Source organism: Homo sapiens, chromosome 2 (genome assembly GCF_000001405.40).
Source record: "Homo sapiens chromosome 2, GRCh38.p14 Primary Assembly".
In the NCBI taxonomy this organism is placed as follows: domain Eukaryota; kingdom Metazoa; phylum Chordata; class Mammalia; order Primates; family Hominidae; genus Homo; species Homo sapiens.
Window position 1 is genome coordinate 95514410 of NC_000002.12, and position 20360 is coordinate 95534769.

The 20360-nt window shown below is 41.9% G+C and overlaps 1 long non-coding RNA gene and 2 pseudogenes across 1 annotated transcript, besides 2 other annotated features; 2 read left to right on the forward strand and 1 right to left on the reverse strand.

Moving 5' to 3' along the window:
* Positions 418 to 5703, forward strand: TRIM64FP (tripartite motif containing 64F, pseudogene; annotated as a pseudogene).
* On the reverse strand, positions 10464 to 12345 carry LINC03052 (long intergenic non-protein coding RNA 3052). The gene has a single exon (NR_182300.1). It is a non-coding gene; the product is annotated as a long intergenic non-protein coding RNA 3052 (long non-coding RNA).
* Positions 10806 to 12970, forward strand: ANKRD33BP1 (ANKRD33B pseudogene 1; annotated as a pseudogene).
* Positions 12325 to 12614: a silencer, noted in NCBI's record as "silent region_11742". NCBI's record gives its function as "represses an Ori minimal core promoter by ATAC-STARR-seq in GM12878 lymphoblastoid cells {active_cell/tissue: GM12878}" and the evidence as "EXISTENCE:reporter gene assay evidence [ECO:0000049][PMID:35858748]".
* Positions 12755 to 12884: an enhancer, noted in NCBI's record as "active region_16187". NCBI's record gives its function as "activates an Ori minimal core promoter by ATAC-STARR-seq in GM12878 lymphoblastoid cells {active_cell/tissue: GM12878}" and the evidence as "EXISTENCE:reporter gene assay evidence [ECO:0000049][PMID:35858748]".

The window sequence follows — 20360 nt, forward strand, 5'->3', positions numbered from 1 at the left end:
CATATTTTTAACAAGCTTCTTGCTGTTCCTAAACAGTATGGCATTACAAGTATTTATACAGCATTTACATTGTATTAGGCATTCAAAGTAATCAAGACATAAAGTATTCAGGAGGATAGTTTTAGATTACATGCAAATCCCATACCATTTACTAATAAGAGACTTGAACATCTTAGAAGCTCAGTATCTAAGGGAGTCCTGGACCCAATCTTCAATGGCTATTGAGGGAAAACTTTATAAATCCAGCATGTTTGCATTTACTATGTCTCAGTTTGTACTGGAGCTAACTTATTAGACATATTGGACATAGCTCAAGTAGACAAGGAAAATTGTCCACCGGCTTTTTTTTCCTTTTCATTGGGGCAAATAAAAATAAGAGAAAGAAATTCTCACTTTTTTTTTTAAATTTTCTGAAACATGGATTCAGACACCCCGCAAGCCTTCCAGAATGAGCTCATGTGCTCTATTTGCATGAACTACTTCATAGACCCGGTCACCATTGACTGGACACAGCTTTTGCTGGCCCTGCCTCCGCCTCTGCTGGGAAGAAGGCAGAGCACCAATGCACTGCCCTGAGTGCAGAGAAATCTCAGAGAAGCCCGACTTCAACACCAATGTGGCACTCAAAAAGCTGGCTTTCCTAGCCAGACAGACCAGACCTCAGAATATCAACAGCTCAGACAATATCTGTGTGCTCCACGAGGAGACTAAGGAGCTCTTCTGTGAGGCTGATAAGAGATTGCTCTGTGGGCCCTGCTCTAAGTCACCAGAGCACATGGCTCACAGCCACAGCCCAATAGGATGGGCTGCTCAGGAATGCAGGGTACATGATGCCTCTAAGGCAGTTTGAATTGTGTAGAATCCCAAATAAGAATGATGAGGGCCTGTGATAATGATGGTGATGAGAATGCAGATGGTGGAAGTGGTGATTATTCCATGTCAATCATAACACATAAATGTGTCCTTTCAATGTTGCTGACTAATTTGACATTCTAATCATAGCTGTGTTGAGACTTCACTAAAGGAGGTTTGCACCAAGAACACTTTTCAAAGTCTGGTTATATAAAAGCCAGTTTCTCAGAAAATTGATGATATTATCTGAAGGGTCCCTTAAAACTCTCTATGTTTCTATCACTTTTCACATCCAAATTATTAGAACCAAATTTGTTTAACATGGAAAAATCTGACCACTCCACTCTAACTTAAATTTATGTTTCTTTCAATAACAGCCTTTTTTATTGATAAGGGGATGAAATCTACTATACTGTCTTCATTATTGCTAAGCTTCTTGCCTCTTTTGCAGGAGAAACTTATAAAGGAAATGGACTATTTATGGAAAATCAATCAAGAGACACAAAACAATCTAAATCAGGAAACTAGCAAATTTCATTCATTAGTGGTAAGAATGAAAATGTTTCCTTTGTTTTTATGCCAATAAACACAATGTTGGCTTACACTTTTTGGCTAAATTCAAACTACCAGTTAAAAGATAGTGATTTCATCCCAAGAAAATGTAGTGATTTCAATTGATATAATAGGAATTGCAAACAGAGAAGTCCACACAAGCTAGCCAAATTAATTCTAGTATATTGGATAAACGGCATGATATGTATTCTAGTTCAAATTTGAAGGTTGGTATAAACCTTATCAGACACTGCAGGTGAGACAACATTTCACTAAGATTGAGTGTGAGGAAGATGAAAGAAATAGAATAGTATATAGAGTAAAAATATAGTAAAAGTAAAAAACAACTGCATAATATGGTGTATGGCTAAATGTTTTTTAACATTTAGGCAAATCAGACATGAAAAATCCTAAAACAGAGATTAATAGAGGAAATAATTGACTCAATAAGAACTGTGAAGAAGCATCACAGTGAGAGAAACTAGAAGTCTTTATACAGGTTTTGATTTAAAAAGGGAGAGAGAATAGGAGCATTGAAAAAATAGGAAAAAATAGAAAAATATAGCAAATATTCAAGACTCTTTGAAAGAGTGAGGCACAAAGTTTATAAATTGCTTGATTACACCCAGCATATAATTATTTGAAGTTTTCTGTTGAGAGTGAGAACATGTAATCCTTTTAACCAAATGTCTCTGCAGGACTATGTGTCATTAAGGAAGGTGATAATCAATATTCAATATCAAAAGATGCGTCTATTTTTCGATAAGTAGGAGCAACTGCATCTGCAGGAACTGGAAAGAGAAGCAAAAGAGCTTTTCCAACAACTACAAGACAGTCAAGTGAGAATGACCCAACATTTAGAAAGGATGAAAGACATGTACAGAGAGCTGTGGGAGACGTGCCACATGCCTGACGTGGAGCTGCTCCAGGTGAGGAGGGAGGGTCCATCCCCAAAGAAAGGAAGCCTTTGCTGGACAATGCTGCCAGGACATGCAAATGTCACCTTCATATGTCACTGCTCTAAGCTAAGTGACACATGCTGTCTGACTTCCACCATTGCATTTGTCCAGTCACTTATTACTGCATACCTTGGTAGTCTCTGGGAAATTTTTGCCATTTTAGTAGATAACATATAACAAAGTTCTCTTCAATATAATTTGGAGTACTATCCACACAGAGAGATCATCTAAAATCATTAGAACTCTAGGCAAGGGGAAGGTTAGTAATACTCCATGTATATGCCCTAGTTCCTCTTCACTCTCTGATGTCCCATACAACAGTGATTTGCTGAAGACATTGAGAGTCTTCCCTGGCCTGGGCAAGGTTTGTAAAAGCTGCTCATCAATGTCCATGTACTCTGTTTCTCATATGGTTCTCTGCTTTGTTTTAATAGTTGTCATGTGTGGTCAGAACTTTCTTTGGAAATAAGATTAGGAAATTAATGACACTGGAAACCTAGATATCTTTGCTTTACTCCACCGTCTCTTGCTGAGCTCCTTTCTTCTTATGAAAACGATGAAGCTTTTCATTGTTAAGTTGAGGTTCTGTTATTAACATAGACATGAATGATTCCTTAGACGGGAATAAAAAGATATACATTATTAAAACACTAAAACAGAAAGAAACAAGAGTGTGAGAAAAGATGCAGAAGGAAAAGTCTCATAATTAAGAGTATCTTTTTTTTTTGCAGGATGTGGGAAATGTATCAGCAAGGTGAGTTTACATTAAAAAATGCTATTTCTGAAAAGTTTGTTCTCTTGCGAATGAAGGGGATGTACACATGTTGAGGTACTAACATCATTCTCAGTGGCTATTTCTGATTTTGTTTCAAAAGAGGGCCTGAGGTCTTCTTTTCTCTGGTCTGGAAAGTTTTCATCTTAAAATTTGTATGAATTCAAATATACGTAAAAACAATTTGCCATTCTGAAGTTTGTTCTCCCAATCCATCCATCCTGTCCAGCCCTACCCCACAGATCTTAATACAAAATTACTCTGAGGAATCATAGAGGTGTCTTCTACTCTAGAGGGGTGGGAGGTTAAAAAAAAAAAAGACAGAGGGAGGACAGAGATTCCCTAAGGATAGGCTGAGGAGGGAGGTTTTGTTCCTAAAAGCATCAATGACCCGGGCCTGCTCCATCACCATACACCCAGTACTAGGAAAGACCTCAGGAAAATGGTTGCCTCAGGACCCTCAGCAGCAGGGTTCTCAGGCTGGAATTAGACTCCTTTGTTTTGCACAAAAGATTAAAGCCTTTTGTCTCAGTGAACATTCTCTGTTAGACACTGACTAGCATTAGTGGCAACGGCCGGCTGAGGTCCCAAAGGTTTTTATCTGAGTTTTCTGCTCTCTGAAATATTTCCAGAATTTCTGCATACCCTCAGGGAGTGTGATGGGCAGAGGCAGCCCATGACTTTTAATGACTTCAGAAGTTGTATAATGTCTGAGAATAACATATCTGGACACACTGATTTTTACGCCAGTAAAATTTAGAAAAAGTAACATCCTTATGGCCCCTAGAGTGTGGAATAAAATGTACACCCAGTTAACCAAAACTGGCAGAATTCTGAGGAAACATCTTCTATGAAAATATGATATCTTTGTATGACTGTGTGACTAGCTCTGGGCCTGGAAATATCACTGAGGCCATTTTTTGCAGGAGTGATTTGGCACAGATGCAAAAGCCCCAGCCAGTGAACCCAGAGCTCATTTCATGGTGCATAACTGGAGTCCTAGACATGCTCAACAACTTCAGAGGTAAGAGCCAGCTGCTTGGCAGTCCAGCCTCCAATTATTTCCTTATTGGGTCCCTTGGCTCAGGATTTTCCCATTTAAGTTTTATTGTTTTTGACATGTAGGTAACCCATACTTTTCCAAAATATGTGCATCTTCTCTACCTGCGTAGTAATATTACAATGATCAAAACTCAATTTCCTGACTTACAGCTTGATGAAAATGTAAAGCAAGATACATAGTTTATCTGCAGAATAAGAAGACAAAGAATATTCATATCATGTAGTTATGAAGACACTAGTTCTCCTGGTGGCATCAGTATTTCGTGTTTATTCAATTTAATTCAATTTTGAAGGTTTAGATTTGGCATAATGGTTTTTAATTGTTTCTATACTATGTGCATTTACATGCATTCTACAAGTAATCTTTATTATTTACAAAATCAGAACATTTTGATCAACAAATAAAATGACTAAAATATCCATAATCAGGACAATTCTAATGCCATCAGATACATATCGTAACAACTGAAAGGTGAGGGATCTGTGAACATGGCTTAACCATGTTAGGCCCATTCTAGAGAGCAGGTCTAGGTAGCAGAGGGCAGGAACCCAGAGTAGATTGAATCAGGGACTAAACAGATAATGTAAAGCCAGAGTATTTTTTTCAGAAACTTAAAAACTTTACGTGTGTTAATTTCTACCAAATTTTTGATGTTTGTGTCCATAACAGGCATAACATACATTCCAATACTCATATCATAGCAAATTGATGTCTACCTGTTGATGATCTTAAAGACAAATAACACAAGAAGAGTTTTCTATTGAAGAAAAAAAACCATTTTAGATATGTCCTGAAACAAACTATGCAGATGTAGACATTAAGGAATAATATATAATTGTTTGTGCTGTAGAGTTGTAATAACATTTTATCTTCATGGATGCATGGGTCTGAACTCTCTTGGCTTCCTTTTTTCTGTATTTTGTTGGAAGAAGAGCAAATGAAGTGAATAATTGGGCCACAGAGCCTCTGTCCCTCATAACACTCACTAATATAATATTTTTTCCTTGTCAGTGGATAACGCTCTGAGCACGGAAATGACTTCTTGCTATATGAGCCTTTCTGAGGATGTGAGACATGTGATATTTGTAGATGACCGTCGCAGTGCACCCATGGATCCCCACGGAGTGGAGAGCTTTGCTGTGTGGGGAGCGCAAGCATTCACCTCCTGCAGGCATTACTGGGAAGTGGATGTGACCCACTCCTCCAACTGGATTCTGGGAGTCTGTTCAGATTCCAGGACAGCAGATACCAATATCGCTATTGATTCTGATGAAACACTTTTTTAAATTTCCTCAAAGAGGAGCAATCACTATAGTCTCTCCACCAACTCTCCACCTTTAATTCAGTATGTACAAAGGCCTCTGGGTCGGGTTGGGGTGTCTCTGGATTATGATAATGGATCTGTGAGTTTTTTTGATATTTCTAAAGGTTCTCCTATCTATGGTTTTCCTCCTTCCTCCTTCTCTTCCCCTCTGAGGCCTTTCTTTTGCTTTGGTTGTACATGAAAATTTGGTTTCATGATGATTTATTGTGACATCCCATATATGAGGCAAATAGTGTCCTAAGACCCTATGTGTGAGAGCCTGTGAGCTCATTGTAACTTCGTGGAATGTAATTACTTTATGGTTATAAATTGGATAACCAACTTGAATGTGTACATTTGTTAATTAAGTTATTTTAATTAGTAAATTATTGTGGAATCTTTACTAGAACATCAATAATGGCTTTTTTTGTACAAGTTTTGTTGAGATTCATTCACTTACCATGAAAGTCACGTTCTAATGTATTTAATTCAGAGATTGTTAGCATATCACACTTGTGTAGCCATCAGAACTCTCTACTGCCTGTGCACTTTTATCACTTCCAGAAGAATCCCAATACCCATTAACATTTATTCTCCATTCACCCTCCCCCATTCCTTCAGAACACATAATCTACTTTTTAGGTTTTTGCATTCAGATAAACAAAATCATACAATATACGTTTTGTTTAATCTGATTTCTTTTTCAGAGAGTAGGTTTTCATACTCTCTGTGTGTACACACTATAAACCATTTGTCTTACTTGTATATTTGAACCAGGCTGGGGTAGAAAAATGAAGTAGTGGATACCTTATCTTATAAAGAATAAAGAAGAGTGCTTATTTTCTTTTTAAGTCTGACCAAGTTAAGTTGACCTCACAGACTTTATTATTTCTCAACATCTTAGTTATTAATCACATTTCAGCTCATACAACAGTTTTTCAGTGCTGGGTTGCTCTGCTATAACATCTTCTCTGAGTATATTATATCAGATTATAATATTCAGAAAACTCTTATACTTATTACTACCAGATTGAAAATTCCAAGGAAGCAATGGCAGTATTTGTCTTCTTTGCTAAGATATTACCATTATCCAGTGAAATTTTTAGAATAGATTACACAATAAATAAGATGAATAAATGGATAAGTAGAGGAGTTAATACGTATAAATATTATTCTAACGTTAAGAAACTTTTCCAAAATATAAGTAACAAAATAGGATAGAACATACTAATGAATATCTATCAAAAGATAAGAAATAAATTGATTTTCAGATTCATATCAAAGATAATACTATTATGTTAGGGTTTAAAATAATTGTAGCATAATTTTTATAGGGTTGATTTCAATTGTCTTAGGTTTTTTAATATAAACCATTGAAAGAGGAAGTTTCCTATATAAGATGATGGGGAACAGGAAAAGGACTTAAAACAATGGAGACTGTCCTTATTTAAACTGACATATAAATTTAATTATTTACTAAGCATAAAGTGGTATAAACCTTCTTATGCAGTAGAAAGAACAAAATTAGTCTACATTTTAAATAAGAATCCAGATGATACAGAATGGAAAATTCTATAATAGAACGTTAATAGCTATGTCTCCTAGGGCACCGGCTTACCTGCTCTAACAAAGACCACAAATTTGAAATGATTCAGAAGGTGCATTGCTCTCACATGTTTGTACCAATATAGGAGTTGTCAAGAAGATTGACATCCTCAACAAGTGAATTTTATCTCTGTGTGCAGAAAACTGCCATTTATTGCCACGTCCCATGCAGCAGGAAAGCCAAAAGAAAAGTAGGAGGGACAAGAGTATTTGGCTTTAAGGAAATCACCTGGTATTTTTCACAATGCAGTTATTCCCGTCCTATAGGTTCAAAATTAGGCAGATGGCACACCAAGTTGTAAGATATATCTGGGAATGCTGTTTACACTCAAAACCATATCCATTCTTATTATTTGATTCAGAAAATAAATTAAATGACTGGCACAACTGAAAATAACCCAAGAGATTTGAGCTGAACCTCAACCAAATAGACAAGTTGCTGCCTAAGGTTAGCACCAGATCTTAGTATTCAAGAGTGAGTAAACCCTGCTTTTTACCACTGTCAAGGTGTCCAGTGTTGTCCTTTTTAGAGCCTGGCTAAGCTGAGGGTTATGTGGCAAGAAACATCTTACTTGTATTTTAGTCTCTTAAATGAATGATTTATATAGGAATGATTCTTCAAATTTTGAAAATACTTATCAGAAATGTTCTTATTCCTTCGCTCTATACCACGTAGACTCTATAATAAACTGTCTCTCTTCTGCCTCCACATATTTCATGCAGAACATTAGGGGTTAGCAGAGAGAAAGCTTATCACCAGCTTCTTTTGGACTCGCTGCCTTTTTCCAAGTGATCTGAGATGATAAAATTATTCACCTTAGGGCTCCAACCCAGCACTCCTTTTTGATTTTCACCTATGTTTTGTAAGCTTTTCTGTTGATGCTAAAACTCTATGCAACATAAAACTGTATGCAACAGTCAGTGCCTCATAATTTAATTACATTATTTGTTCCTAGTTTTCAAGGAAAAATTTATTCCTGACATTCTTCTAATTTAGCTCAGATTCACTTTTGCAGAAAGACAGAATTAGCTACTTTACGATTATTTACTATTTAACTCTGATTTTGGAAGATGAAAAAGTTTTTGTGTCTATTTAGCATACTTTCTTAGCTATTTAACCAAGATAATCTTATTCTATTGATTCTCCTAGAGATACTTAATTTATTTATTCTCTTCACCTGTCAGAATTTATGTTAGAATATCACCAAGAATTACTTACAATTGAAATAAATCAAAGAGGGACCACTAAGAACATTGTCAATCATTAATCCAGAAATCTTGAACTTCCTGAGTTTTCTATCCCTAAAAGAAGTTATTTATCAATAGCCTTGTTACAGATTTTTTAATACAATAATTTTGACTTTTCTATAGTACAAAAAGTAAAAATTGATAAAGAGGATAACTTGGAAAAAATTAATATAACAACACTGAGACACATTCTTGACTAGCACTCTATTTCTGTACTAAATTTAGGAGGCATGTAAATGGCACGTTTCCTAAGTGAAATAAGACAGACACACAGAGAAAAATCCTTCATGGTTCCACTCATATTTGAAATCTATTTTTAAAAGTTCAATACATTAAAAAAGGTGGTTACATTGGTGGGAAGGAAATAGGTAAATGAAGGGCAAAAGTTGTAAAGGCGTAGTAGAATAAGTGAATCTGATGTACAACCTGTAGGCATATTTGATAATGTATTGTTTTTGGGAAATATTCTGAGGGACTAGATTTTTGGTGTTCTTATCATAAAAAAGAAGCACAGCTAAGTGATATGATAGATTTGTTAATTTTCTTCATTATAGTAATCATTTCATTATGTATATGTGTCTCAAAACAACATACTTTGCACCTTGAAAATATAAAATAAAATAAATTTAAAAATAAAGGTAATTTTGTTCTTCCATGTCAGCTGAAAATAAGTGAAGACTGGGTCAGTAATAACATTGCTTTGCTGAATTCAGAGAATTCTAATAAAATATTTTTAGTTGGGAAGCTATCTGTATTAAAAAAAATGATCTAAGGCTGGTAACAGTGGCCATACTTATAATCCCAGTGCTTTGGGAGGCCAAGGCAGAAAAATCACTTGAGGCCAGGAGTTTGAGATCAGCCTGGGCAACATAGTAAGACCTTATCTCTACCAAAAATAAAAAGAAAATTAGCCTTGAGTGGTGGTGTGCACCTGTTGTCCCAGCTACTCAGGAGGCTGAGTTGGGAGGATTGCTTGAGACCAGCTGGGAGTTTGAGACTGCAGTGAGTTCTGATTGTGCTATTGCACTCCAGCCTGGGTGACAGAGTGAGAACTTGTCTCAAAAACAGCAACTAATTATTTTGCATAGCCATTTTACCTGAAAGGTATAATTATTTCTTCTACAATTAATAAATCTGCATATGTCTAGGCCAGCTATATCAGGTAGAGCTTGTCCTCTAGTACTTACATCTATAAAACAAATAAGACAGTTATAAGGAGGCTCTAAGAAAAACAATTTTTTCTCATTCTGGACTTTGAGGTCTTAATTCTTTAAACTAATTTTCTGTCTCAATAGTGGATATCACCCTGAAACTTAATTTGTCCAAACACCTCACATAATCTGAAATTTTACAAAACATAAAGTTCATAGGATCAATACATTCTTGTGCCTTAAGTCTCCAGGCATTCAAGGATACTATTATGTGGAAACTCAGGCCTTCTACTGCATTATTGAAGGAGCACATTTGAGACTCACAGCACTTGTTGCTGTTAACAGGTCTGGACAATGAGTGATGTCAGTCCAGATAATTCTGAGGAAGGCTTTCTGCCTTGTTATAAGGAGGATAATCACTGGAGACTCTAGACAAGTTCCCAGTCATCATTCCAGCGTTTAGTTGCTGTTTTTGTAATCTCAGCATTTTTGGAGGCCAAGGCAGGTGGATCACTTTAGGTCAAGAGTTCAAGACTGGCCTGTTCAACATGGTAAAACTTTGTCTTTACCTAAAATACAAAAATTAGCGGGGCATGGTGGTGCACACCTGCAATCCCAGCTACTATGGAGGCTGAGGCAGGATAATCACTTGAACCAAGGAGGCAAAGATAGCAGTGAACCGAGATCATGCCACTGCACTCTAGCCTCGGTGACAGACTGAGACTCTGTCTCAATAAATAAATAAATAAATAAAATCACCTCTTGCATGGAGGGTGAATAAGGAGTATAACATGAGGACGTGTGAGGAAAATATGCATTAGAAGGGAAGGAGAACATACTTAACATGCCAGTGGAAGGTGAAATTCTAAATTATCTGAGAATATTTTTGAGAACTTTGTTTAATTCTCAGTGTAGAAAGATGTACCCTTTGAATGACATTAAAAATTCACTAGAAGAGTGAATAGTTAAAATGTCACATAAGTAACAAGAGTCTCAAAACAAAAAGTGTTCTAAAAGTTTAAAGTCCGTATTTGAGATAGAGGAGAGAATAAATAATAGTTCATTAATTAGTCTTTATTATGTGAAAAGACTTTTCTAAAATTCTTCCATAATAATTGAAGATATAAATTACAATAATTAAAATTTACAAAAGAATAAAAGCATTAAAATAAAGTGTGAAAAATTTAAAAAGGGTAAAGATGAAAATTATTTAATTTTTAATCTCAAAAATCCGAAAGTGATTTTATCAATGTCCTAAGAAAATTAAAATGAAAACAAACTTAATAATGTAAAGAAAGGAGGTTTCTGCCGGGCTGGGGGCGGGAGCTACGGCTTCTCTGGGGACGCGGAAGCGAGAAGCAGGGACCTTGGGGCGCGCCCGGTTTTCCGGGACGGTGCCCCGGCCCCCAGCCCACGCCTCCGGCCGCTGGCATGGTGCTGCTGGCTGGGACCCGGCCGCAGGGTGGCTGGGAGCGCTGCATGACCCCGCCACCGCCGTCCCCACTCCTAGGCGCACAGGTCGAGGAGGACCGCGCTGACTACAAAGAGTTCCAGGGCCCCACACCTGCAGCATAGCCTGGGACGACTCTGTACCCTTTCCAGGACGAGGAGGAGCACGGCGTCGAGGGCTTGGAGAGCGTCCCGGAGGAGGGCGTCCAGGAGGCATGGGGCTGCTGCGGACGCTGGTGCGGCGAGGGGTGAGCGTTGAGAAGGCGCAGGAGACTGACCACAATGGCTGGACCAGCCTTAATGTCGCCTGCTACCACGGCTTTGTGGATATACCGTGGTGGCCTTAGCTGAGTAACCCCACACTGACGTCAACTGGCAGGACAGGGAGGGGAACGCAGCCCTAAATACAGCTGCACAGGCAGGAGCTGCCTCTGGCCCCATGGGCACCGTTGCCTTGGACACTGGCTCTCAGCCTTGTGCTTCCTGGTCAGCATCACGTGGGCTGGTTCATTTGAGCTTTAACACAGATCTGGTGGAAACACAGGCTGCCAGGCCCTGCCCCTGGAGTCTTTCTTTGAATAGGCCTGGGGTGGGGCCCAAGAATGAGCAGAAGAACAGGTTTCCTGGTGAGGCTGATGCCGCTGGCCCAGGGTTCTCACGTTGAGGACCGAGAGCTTTGAGGTTTTCATACCTGATGATGTCCAGGAACCCTTCTCAGTAGGCACTGAAGACCATCAGCAGAATCACAGACCCCAGGAGAGATGTCGTCAGACAGACACAGAGGCATCACCGAATTAAAGTGAAAATGAAGAAAGGAGCTGAGCATCTGTTTCATGACTTTCGTGGCTGTTTTACTAAAGAGGCTATCCTGGCCCAGTCAGGGCACGCTATCATCACCAACTACTTGTTGAACTACGTTCAGGGTCTTGATCTTGAAGGAGGGACGCGTTCGGGTTGAAAGCCGCCATGCAGGGTCGAACGGATCGCATCGGAGCCCTGAGCTAGCAGGGGCGGGTGTCCACGCGAGGGCCCCCGCCGTGGGATGTCGCCAGAGGAGTGGCCACTTATACGTCCGCCTCATGCAGAGGCTCCTGGAGCGCCCCTGCCGGGAGCTGTTGGGGAAAAAGTACCAGCTTGAGCTGCCGCCGCTCCCCGAGAGGCCGCAAAAGCCCGAGGGCTCCAAGAACTGCCTGCAGAGGCTCAGGGACTGCGAGCTGTCCGCGCTGACGCCGCGCTCCATGCGGGGCCCAGAGGACCGGGGCGCCCTGGACCACATGGTCAGGATGACCACGAGCCTCTAACAGCCCCGCCGGGGCCCTCGCGTGCCAGACTATGTGCCCCGAGAGCACCTTGTGCTGGGGGAAGAGGCGGCTGGCGGTGCAGGAAATCCTGGCGGCGCAGGAAATTCCGGCGGCGCGGCGAGGGGTGGGGGGAGGCAGGCGCAGGAGGCGGGCGAAGAGGAGGGCGCAGAGTAGCATAAGCCGCTCGGCCTAGCGGCCGCTGGCTCCACAAAGGCCTCCCCAAGAGCCGGCCTCCCACCTGCCCGGCTGCCGGGGTCCTGGGGCTCCGCCGCCCCCGCCCCGCGGACGGCCAGCCTCCTGCCCCTGCAGTGCCTGCAGCAGAGCAGCTTGGGGCCCAGCGTGGTGGTGCCCAGGTCCGCCTCAGCAAGGTGCCCGCGCCCACCTTCCAACCCAAAAGGCCGGCGCGGAAGGGCAGCATAAAGGCAGCGGCCACCTGCGGATACCCAAGTGGCCTTACAAGGTGGCCAAGGAGGAGAAACGGGAGGCGGAGGAGGCCGAGAAGAGGCGCCAGGCCAAGGTGCAGGAGAAGCGCCCGCCGCCCTGGAAGAAGAGGACGTGAGAGTCCGCGGGTGCTTGGCACGGGGTTTGAGGGCTGGGTGAGGCCGCGGGGCTGGGCACCATGGCAGCTCTCGGGACCACCGGGCAGCGCGCGTTTCCACGCTGTCTCTCTAGGATGCTCCCAGAAAGGGGCTGGGGGAGCCACATCGATTCGCTTCACACCAGCCACCCTAGCAATCAGTACACCTAGGGGGCATGTTCCCTAAAAGGCTCCCTTTAGAGAACCTCAATTAAGATTTTTTTAAAGATTAATTTATTAGGCCAGGCGCGGTGGCTCACGCCTGTAATCCCAGCACTTTGGGAGGCCGAGGCGGGCGGATCACCTGAGGTTAGGAGTTTGAGACTAGCCTGACCAACATGGAGAAACCCCATCTCTACTAAAAATACAAAATTAGCCGGGCGTGGTGGCACATGCCTGTAATCCCAACTACTCGGGAGGCTGAGGCAGGAGAATCGCTTGAACCCTGGAGGCAGAGGTGGCAGGGAGCCAAGATGGCGCCATTGCACTTCAGCCTAGGCAACAAGAGCCAAACTCCGTCTCAATTAAAAAAAAATCAATTTATTAAAGGATATTTTCTGTGTAATTTTGTATTTTTAATTGTTGTCCAATTTGCCAAGTTTTACAAGTGATAGGGTCCCTTGTATCCAAGGAAGTTTTTATACACTTACCTGAAGACCTTTTATTTAAAACACTGTTTCCAGCAATAAATATTTATGATATCTGTAGGACTTTACACAGAAATCATGGGATTCTCTCCTTTTTGGGCTGTTTGCTTTGGTCTTCTCATCATGGGTGGATGTTTTTATTAATTAGATTAAGTGATGCCGGATATTTCTATTTGATGGAGGGATTGACTGGTTCAGCCACATGATCAAGTGAGACAGAGAGATCAGATTTTATTGTATCTTTTTAAAAAGTATTATCCAATACAGTCATATATTGAGGAAAAACATTTATCGTCAAATTATAAAACAATGCAGAGATAGGCATGTCTGTATTGCTAGAATTAAACTCATTTTAAGCAAGGAGTTTTAGATAAACTGTATACAAAAATCTTTAACATATTAAAATAGACATGAGAAAAATGTGTCATTTGATAAAATGGGGGAAATGTAATAAATGATTACCAGAAATATAAAATTAAGCCGTATATGCTCTTAAGTAAATCGAATCTAGGCATCCTTAAAATGTAAAAAAGGATGCAACAAGAGTAAGGAGCCCAGAATGATGTAAATTACAGGAATGGGGTGTAATGTAACCTCTAGAGGAGGTGATGTTTAGAAGAAGCAAAGAGAATGCAATGAGAAGCAAACTTGTTTTAGGCAAATTCTCCTGGAGTGGACCAGGCAGCCCCCTCTTCCAGACTCAGTTCCAGAGATTCCCTTATGTGGGTATTTGTTTTATTATTCCTTTGAGGACTGCATTTGGTGTTTAGTTCATCCTCATGTGGACCCTATGGAATTTCCAAGATGCGGGGCCTTAGCACTGTGGCACCTTCCTGCCACACGTACATAATTCACAGCATTACCAAGTCACCACAAGCCCCACGCTCACCTCTGTCAGCCCAGGACCCAGCCAGGCAGTGCCACGTGGTCTCCCAGGCTCGCTTCTCCAAGCCGAACTGCGAAAGTTATTGAGGCACTGGCCCAGGGAACTGAGCCTTGGGCCTGTCCTAAAGCTCCATAGGTGACTGCACTGCAGCCCACATGGAGAGCTGCAGCTCTAACACAGGGATTTTGAGAGGCCTCAGTGCCATTTAAGTGGCACTTCCAGGACACCCATCCTGAGCTCCCACAAAGGGCGCCACCTTCCCAAGAACGTCTAATTGTCATTGGAACAGCCAGTGTCAGGCAGCTTCTGCTCAGGCTGATGTGGCGTCTGACCCTTGGTGGGTTGCCAGACATTCCTTCCTGTTTCTGCCATGGGAAGTTGGCACTGGGAATGGTATGGAGCCCCCACTTCTACCCTGAGCCTTGGGTGTCTGCTGCTTCCAGGTGAAAAATGGACATTTCTGATACTGCCCAGCCACTACGGCACCACAACCCATGCTCATAGTCTCCAGGGATGTGTAGAACGGCAATGGCAGGACAGCAAACAACTGGCGATTTCCCCAGGTCCCACGCTCTTGCGGAGTGAGTATGTTGGGTCCCTGTCCCCAGTGTGTTCCAGCCTTACCCAGGTGCACAGAGTACCCTGGGGCCAGCACAGGGCTTGTCCAGTGATGCTCCTGGTGTTCACAAAATGGCTCCAGAGATACCTGCATTTTGAAAAGCCTGCCGAGCCAGCAAGTGTAGGGCAGGACCCGGATTTCTTTGGCAAATCTGAAGGTGAGAGGGCCACTTGCCTGCTGAGTAGAAGCTGCCTTTACCTGGCCAGTGTATGCAACTTGAGAGAAAATGACAGCTGCATGGGGCGCTCTGGTGGGACTGGGAAGTCTGATCTTCCGGGGAGCTGTAGATAGTGAATTTCAAGTTGACAGCTACCTTCTCAGGGATTTATATATAAATATAGTTAGAGGAAAAGCTAAAATCTATTTTACTAGTTTTTAGTGTTTGTGTAAAGTAAGCTTAAACTGGACAGAATAAACATTTCTCAGACAATGTTGATGCTACTGATTACAAGTTAGATGGCTGGAGCTTGCCCCTTGGTGGAGAATTTCTTGGTGATTGGAGACTGGGGACTCTGGCAGCAGAAGTGGCTTTATGGTGGGTGTGAAGTTGCTTCTGCCCCTCTGAGTGGCCTCTCATGGATGTGAATGCGTGTATTGACACCAGTGAAATCCACCTCCGTGTGCGTGGAGGTGGCTGATGAGAACACAAGTGAGCCAGTCCTGGTTCTTCCCTCCAGAACCGGTCACTCCCAGTCTGACGTTGGAGCATGTGAACTAAGAGTGACATTTTTTTCTACTTGCTTCTGTGAATAAAGTGTTCTACAGTCAGCCAGCACTAAACACCAGAAAGGAGGAGGGAACAGCGTGGAGCAATTCATCTGGAATTACCTCGGTGTGCAGAGGCTGTCCCTTGGCTCCACTTGGGATAAACATTGTGAAACATCGTGGGCCTCTTTCTTCTCAAGCTCCTCCTGACAGCCTCCTGGCAACACTAGAGGCCTCAAGACTATGGAGATCAGAATTGCAATGGCTTTGTCATCTCAGCATTGACCACTCCTGAGACCCAAGGTTCCTCCTGGGAGCAGGAGACAAGGAGTTTGTGATGTTGGATGGAAAATAGGATATATGAATGCAGAAGGGCTGTGCTGGACCCCTCTTTTCGCTTCTCTCCCTGCTGTCAGCAGTGTCTCTGGCATGGAGGCGAATCTGTTGTGGGTGAAACAGAAGCCCCTGGGGTAGGACCAGACCCCAGGCCTGAAAAGGATGCAAAGCCTGCTGTTTCAGGCTGTCAGGAAGAATCGTGGGTACCGAGTGATTATGATGAAATGCAACCCAGAGAGGAAATGAATGGGCCCTCACTAAGAAGTGGGTCTGACATGTCTCTGGCAGCCCACCGGCAAGAGCACGACATGCCCTGCAGCCCCACCATCCACACTACATGATGTGGGAGGGCTGTCTGTTCATTCTTACACTGGGGACCCAAGCCTGCTCTGAGGAGTGAGTCACAGCCCTGACGTGCGCCTTGCATTACTGTTTCCTGAGATGTGCCCGGAGACTCAAGCTTGCTCATTTCTGTCCTGACACAGCTCACTGTTCCTTAGGTGGTCATAGTCCTCCCGTGCTGTGTCAGCTCCTACATAGCATTAGTCTTTCACGTGATAAAGTGCAAGCACTTTTCCATTTTACAGTATTTGGGGAAATTCTAACACACTCCCCAGGGATTTGTGCATGTCCTTCTGCCTCCCCGGTGGGTCATTCTGTGGATTCCGCACCTGGCAGTCGGTCTTCCCCCTTGGAAGCCCCTAGGATCCCTGTTTCTACGGGCCTGGTCCTTGGTTTCTACCCCAGTCCCTTTTGGCCGGCACCTGCCTGGAACTGCCTGGAGCGCCATGGTATGGGGAAGGACAGGTGGAACCCTGACCACAACAGATCCTTCTAAAACAACAGTCACATTGATGATGATGAGTGCAGTGGGGTGAATGTCGTCACAGCATGCATGCTGGGAGCTGCCAAGGGCTTACAACAAAAGCAGTTCTTCCTAAGGCACCCTTTGCATCTTCCCATCCACGCCTCTCAGTGCATTTGGAACTTGCTTATGCATTGGAATAACTTGAGTCAGCTGCTCGTTTCTGTGCCTCTGCACTCACAGGTTCCTTCATTAACATTTTAAATAAGTGGTTAAAAACTCCTCTGGAGGTTGTTTTTGAAAGAAACAGGGAAAAGAAAAACACACACTACCTGAATTGATTTGAGTAATTTTCCAGTGACTCAGTTGAAACTCAGTGTTGCATACATAATTTCCTCATGCTGAGCCAGCCTGAAATAAGACTTGATAAGAGGCACAGCCCTAAGTAGCAGGCAGTGCCACTGTGGACAGTGTACACTATGGTGTGAGTGTGTGCACAGGCGAGCCTAAGTGTGTGTACTCATACACACAGATAAACCGAAAGGACACTGGGCTTTGTGCTGGCAAAGGCTGTGATGCTGCTGTGGCTTTCTATGGGCCCTGGGGAGTGTCAGATGGGAAGTGCTTTGATGGCATGTTGTTCAGTGTATTTAATGGGGTCTCCCATGGCCCGAGGACCCACTGTGAGCACTCCACCCACTGTGGCGCAGAACACGGCTGGAGTCATCATAGCCCAGGTCTTTATTGAAAGGGAGTGTTGACCCAGAAGCCTCATATAGAAACCATTTGGCAAGGTCTGGACCATCTCTCTGCAACTGACCTGCCTTGGCCGCACAGAGGGACCCAAACCCAAAAGGCCCAGACCCAAGGGAGACTGAATCACATTTACCATTACACCAGCTTTCATTTATTTGTTTCCATATGATCATAGGGACTGTATTACTAAGTATGCTTATAAATGCTATTTACAGACTGTTCCCTTTTATAAGGTGAAAGATTAATAAAGAACAAAAAATTGCCTGTAGAAAACCATGCCTGAGGCCAGGAGCAGTGGCTCATGCCTGTAATCCCAGCACTTTGGGAGACCAAGACAAGCAGATCACCCAAGGTCAGGAGTTCAAGACCAGCCTGGCCAACTTGGAGAAACCCCAGCTCTACAAAAATACAAAAAAAAAAAAAAAATTAGCTGGCATGATGGTGGGTGCATGTTATTCCAGCTACTTGGGTGGCTGAGAGAGGAGAATCGCTTGAACCTGGGAGGCAGAGGTTGCAGTGAGCCGAGATGGCACCATTGCGCTCCATCCTGGGGGACTGAGCAAGACTCCACAGAAAAATAAATAAATAAATAAATAAAAACAAAAAAAAAATAACAAATAAATAAAAATAAAGAGAAAGGAAAGAAAGGAAAGAAAAAAAAGAAAGCAAAGAAAGAAAGACCATGCCTGAAGGGCACTGTGTGCTCATCACTTCAGCAGGTTGACACTCACCTGGAGGTGGTGGAATCTGTCCATTAGTCCAGTGGATGGGTTGAGCACGGATCTCTGAGCTCACACACTGGGGCATGTGCCACTGCTCTGACTCACTCCTTTAAAGAGGAAAATACAATTGCGCTTTCTAATACCAACTATTTCATCACAGGATTTAAAAACAAATAATCATTCAATGGAAATTCACCTTTAAAACCCTTTCCTGATATAGCAATGTATCTCCACATTCATGAGATAGGATTGAGCCATTTGTAGGGAATCTTTCTTATATTCTTTTCTTACTTCACTCACCTACCACCTGGGAAAAAACTAGTTCATGCACCTAAACATTTTTATGACTTGAAATCCACAATCATAAACAGCTGTGCTTCAAAAACTGCTGTATTGAGTCTGGAAGCACACTTATTCAATAGCCACAGGGAGGAAAAAGGTTAATTTTTCATAAAGGAGAACAGGAAATTATAGCCAGTTGAACCCATATGTATGCATATGCCAACAATTGAGTTTCCATAAGTTGTGTCTTCATTTTGTTAGAAATGGCTTGATCCACTTAATAGCTCTCATGCTACCCCAGTTTGCATTGAGACCAAACTTACTTGGTCAATATGTCTCCCAAATCCTGCAAAGAAAACAAGAAAAGCTTCAGAAATGGGCTACTCTTCCAACCCAACCTTTAGGTTTGGTAAAGTATAGAATAGTGCCATCCCTGAAATGCTTTGTAAATTCCTTTTCCTTTTCATTTCCAAAGTTGATCCCAGTACAACATATTTACAGGATGGCTTTAAACTCTTGATGAATTCAAAGCCCTGGTGGTGAATAGAGGAAAGGAAATGTGTGGCCATGCATTGCTGCAATCAACTGCCTACAAAGTGGACTTTCCCAGGGCTTGTTTCTAAAGGATAATATGTTATAAATTAAGAACAAACAGGAGGAAGAAATAAGTGTTTTTCTTCCCCAAATTCTCCATTTCGCTAAATTGGAGACAAAAATGGGATAGTCACAAATAAGTTAATTTTTTTCTGTTTTTGAAAAGCAAGCTACAAAAGAAGTTTACTAGAGGGTAATATTCTCTGTGGCCAATTTTGATAAATGGGAATAGAAAATTATATCCACTTAAAAATTCCACAAGCTTGCTTGTTCATGGTTAGGAAAAGAATTACATTTTGTCTATGTTATTTCTATTTGGAAAAGATCCTCCATCTTAGCAGCAGGAGCTAAATATTTTATATATATATATATATATATATATATATATATATATATATATATATGCATACACACATATACATATATATATATATATATATATATATGCATACACACATATACATATATATACACACACACATCTATGGTGTTGAATAAATAATATCACCTAAGCCAGTGGTGTGCAATCTTTTGGCTTCCCTGGGCCTCATTAGAAAAAAGCATTGTCTTGGGCCACACATGAAATACACTAACATTAACTATAGCTGAAGAGCTTTAATAAAATGACAAACAAAAATCTCATCATGTTTCAAGAAAGTTTAGGAATTTGTGTCGGGCCATGTTCAAAGCCATCCTTGGCCATGTGTGGCCCAAAGACCATGGGTTGGACAAGCTTGTTGTAAGGTATGAACTTCAAATAATATAAAAATTTTTTAGGCATGTTATTGGTTCTTTCCTGGAGCAGCTCCACATCTAGATCATGGCACATTTTCATCAGCTCCTTATAGATTTTTCTTAGGTGTTTTTTTTTTTCTGAACCATTTTGCGTTTTTGCTTTTCTTAAGTTGCTGTAAAATCTTTCTGTCATCCTCTGTAAGTTTCTCTATATGTTGTTTTACTTCTCATAGGGAACTGAATGCAGCTTCCTCTACTCAGCTCTGGTCATCTCTGCCCATAGCTGCACATAGCACTGCAGGGACCTGGATTTCCTAGATGACATATTTATTCTGACTTCATCCTCCTCCTCTTACACATCCTTTATTCACTTTAACTCAGGTTCTCTTTTCTTTATCTCTTTCATCTTTTCTTCATAATAAAGTTAGGGGTCTCACTATG